The sequence below is a fragment of the Homo sapiens genome, chromosome 5 (genome assembly GCF_000001405.40).
Source record: "Homo sapiens chromosome 5, GRCh38.p14 Primary Assembly".
NCBI classification, from domain to species: Eukaryota; Metazoa; Chordata; class Mammalia; order Primates; family Hominidae; genus Homo; species Homo sapiens.
The window spans coordinates 149,453,660-149,457,562 of NC_000005.10; positions in this window are offsets into that span (position 1 = coordinate 149,453,660).

Below are 3,903 nucleotides of genomic sequence, written 5' to 3' on the forward strand. Positions count from 1 at the left end.
ATCCACTTTGCACCCTCAGCAGCTGGCACAGGGCACAAGGCCTGACACTTAGCAGGACAAACTAAGTGCCCCGCACTGTTGTAAGTGTTCACATTTATCCCTCCCAGTGACCCCATGAGGAGCCATTACTACCCCCATTTTACAGCTGAGGAAACTGAGGCACAGAGAGCTCATATAACTTATCCAAGGTCACACCACTGCTAGGATTCATATCCGGGTGGCCTGGCTCCCAAGCCCAGGCTTTTATCTATTCACTGTCAATATTTATTGAAGTAATGAAAAGGCAAACCAGACTGCAGCTGTGAGAAATGTACGTGTTTTCTTAAGGTCAAAGTCCTACCCCCAAGACTAAGACCTGTTCCTAGACCTGGCACCTGAAGACAGGTGTCACAGGGAAGATGCCATGCTCTACCACAGTGGCTGGTCCCTGGCCCTCCGTGGCCCAGGAAATGCCCCCAGCATGAGTTCTAACTGAAGTCAGCTGTCACAGGAGGGAGCCCACTCCATGATCTCACAGGGAGCCAGGGCGGACTTGCCGTCCCCACTTGGAAGCTGAGGCCCAGTAGGTCTAGAGAGCAGGCCCCAGCCCTCGGCACAGGAAAAATCTCTTTGGCCAGAAATAGATTCAAGTGGCCAGGTGCTGTGACTCAAACCTGTATTCCTAGCTATTTGGGAGGCTGAGTCAGGAGGATCCCTTGAGCCCAGGAGTTTGAGACCAGCCTAGGCAAAAGAGCAAAACCCCTGTCTCTACAATAAGTAAATTTAGCTGGGTGTGGTGGCACAAGACCATAGTCCTAGCTACTTGGGAGGCTGAGGCAGGAGGATCACTTAAGCCCAGGAGTTCAAGGGCTGTAATCAGCTGCGATTTCACCACCGTACTCCAGCCTGGGCGACATAGTGAGAACTTGTCTTTAAAAAAGTAAATAAGGCTGGGTGCAGTGGCTCACGCCTATAATCTCAGCTCTTTGGGAGGCTGAGGCAGGCAGATCATGAGGTCCAAAGATCGAGAACATCCTGGCGAACATGGTGAAACCCTGTCTCTACTAAAAATACAAAAAATTAGCCAGGCGTGGTGGCACGAGCCTGTAGTCCCAGCTACTCGGGAGGCTGAGGCAAGGCAGGAGAATCGCTTAAACCTGGGAGGCAGAGGTTGCAGTGAGCCGAGATCGTGCCACTGCACTCCAGCCTGGGTGACAGAGCAAGACTCCGTCTCAAAAAATAAATAAATAAATAAATAAATAAATAAATAAATAAATAAATAGGCCTGGGGGCAGTGGTTCATGCCTGTTATCCCAGCACTTTGGGAGGCCAAGGCAGGTGGATCACTTGAGGCCAGGAGCTCAAGACCAGCCTGGCCAACATGGTGAGAGGCCATCTCTACTAAAAATACAAAAATTAGCCAGGCATGGTGGTGGGCGCCTGTAATCCCAGCTACTTGGGAGGCTAAGGCAAGAGAATTGCTTGAACCCGGGAGGTGGAGATTGCAGTGAGCCGAGATCTTGCCATTGCACTCCAGCCTGGATGACAGAGTGAGACTCTGTCTCAAAAAATATAATAATAAAAACTAAAAAGTAAATAAATAAATAAGGATTTTTTTTACAAAAAGAAACAGATTCAATGGGTAATGGGGAAACAATTATTGGTAAACTAGCCTATATTTCTTGCCTCCCACACCCTCACGCAAGGTGACTCCAGGGAGCTGGTCATGTCAGCTTCAGGAACTGGGGTGGGAGCCTCATCACTCTAGGGTGTATCATTACCCGCACTCAGCCTCTCTCCTCACTCTCTCCATTTTCATCTTACAGCTTCAGTTCTTGCTGCCAACTGTTCCACTCTTTGCCTTGAATTCACATTCCCGAAAAGAGGATCTACTTGTCCAGTTAATTTCCCACCAGGCTGCCTCAAAGCCTGGTGAATCAGCCTATAGATGGGGTTCCCACCCACGTCCAATCAGCTGTAGCTGGAGGTCGGGGGGCGGGGTGGGCTCTGTGGCACCAGCCTGGCAGCCTCTGAGAATGGGGCTATGGGACTGGTAGGCACACTGAGGCTGGCTTGGCCTGTGTGTAGCCTGAGGGTCATGCCTTCAACTGTCTCCTTCATGCTTCAGCTCCCTTTACAAAAACTGTAGAGCCCAGTTTTCTCTCATGAGCTCCCCTCAACCCCATGAAGGGCCTCTGACCCACAGGCTAGATCCAGGATGTCAATTCAAGACACAGGCCCCCACTGCTTGCTTCCCAGCCCACAGCCAGCATCACCAGTCGACAGTAGTACTCCCTCCCCTTCACTGAGCACAGATGCAGAATCGCTCTCAACAGCGCACTCCAGAAGCCGCTGCCAAGCTACTCCAGCTGACATGAAAGACCTAGGCCGAGGGAATGATCTCTAGGTTGTTTTGGCCACTGGCGTGGCCTGGGTGTGAGTCAGCGTTCCCCACCTGAGCAGAACACGCAGCCGGGGAGGATCTGTAACCAGTGGTCAGTGTCCTCAGGGACAGGTTCTAATTACGTATAACCCTCAGGATATGGTGAGGGGACGCCTGAGCCAAGGGCAAGGCTTGGGGTTGAACACTGACTCACTGGCTTAGAGTTTGAAGTTGGTCACTTGATCTCCTTTCATCTCTGTCTCTTCTGTGAGTCGAACAGGCAGCTTCTCCCACATCACAGAGGGACTCCTCACCACCTAACTGAGACCTGATCAGTGCTCTGAGAAGGTACCAAAGCATCAGCCCTGGGGAGGCACCCACTGTATCGAATGGGGACAACTATGCTTTAAGAAACAGCAGGGAACTGGGCATGGTGGCATGTGCCAGTAGTCCCAGCTATTCAGGAGAAGGAGGCAAGAGGCCAACTCAGGAGGATCACCCAGGAGGAGTTCAAGACTCCAGTAAGTTGTGATCACACCACTGTACTCCAGCCTGGGTGACAGAATAAGACCCCATTTAAGAAAGAAAGAGAGAGTTGGGGGGTGAGAGGTAAAATGAAGGAAGGAGAAAGAAAGAGAGAGAGAGAAAGAACAAAAGAAGAAAGAAAGAGAGAGGGAAAGAAAAGAAGGAGAAAGAAGGAAAGAAAGAAACGAAGGAAGGAAGGAAGGAGGCAGGAAGGAAGGGAGGAAAAAAGGAAGGAAAGAAGGAAGGAAGGAAGGGACTTCTCAGAGCCACGATGTGTTCAAGTGGTCAATCAACAAGAGCAGGACATAGTGAGCAGAGCTTCCCTTGAATTATTTGACTGATTTTGACATACAGACTACATAGGAGTAAAAAAAATCACCCACCTCTGGAAGCGGGCAGATAACAGAAATGAGAACAGAGATGAGGCAAGGGGACTGCAGATAAGAGGCGCTCTGAGAAGGAGCACAGGGCTAAGTCAGGCCAAGGGCCTGCAGTTCCCACTGAATTTTTCCATGAGCAAACACAGGCCTGGTACTGCCAGATTTTTCCATTTTTCTTTTTCTTCTTCTTTTTTTTTTTTTTCCTCGAGACAGAGTCTTGCTCTGTCACCCTGTCACCCAGGCTGGAGTGCAGTGGTGTGATCACAGCTGACTGCACCCTCGACCTCCCAGGGCTCAGGTGATCCTCCCACCTCAGCCTCCTGGGTAGCTGTGACCACAGGCACATGCCATCATGTCTGGCTAATTTTTGTGTATTTTTAGTAGAGATGGGCTTTTGCTATGCTGTCCAGGCTGGTCTTGGACTCCTGGGCTTAAGCAGTCAACCCACCTCAACCTCCCAAAGTGCTGGGATTACAGGCGTGAGCCACCACACCCAGCCTAGCATTTTCAATAAATCAGAATGTAAGCCAAGCAGCCACCAGAGGCTGACAAGCATATCTGTGGACTGGGAAACCTGCCTTAGAGACTGACCAGTGCAGGGCTTGGCGAGCCAGGGTCCCGGCACCAGACACACAT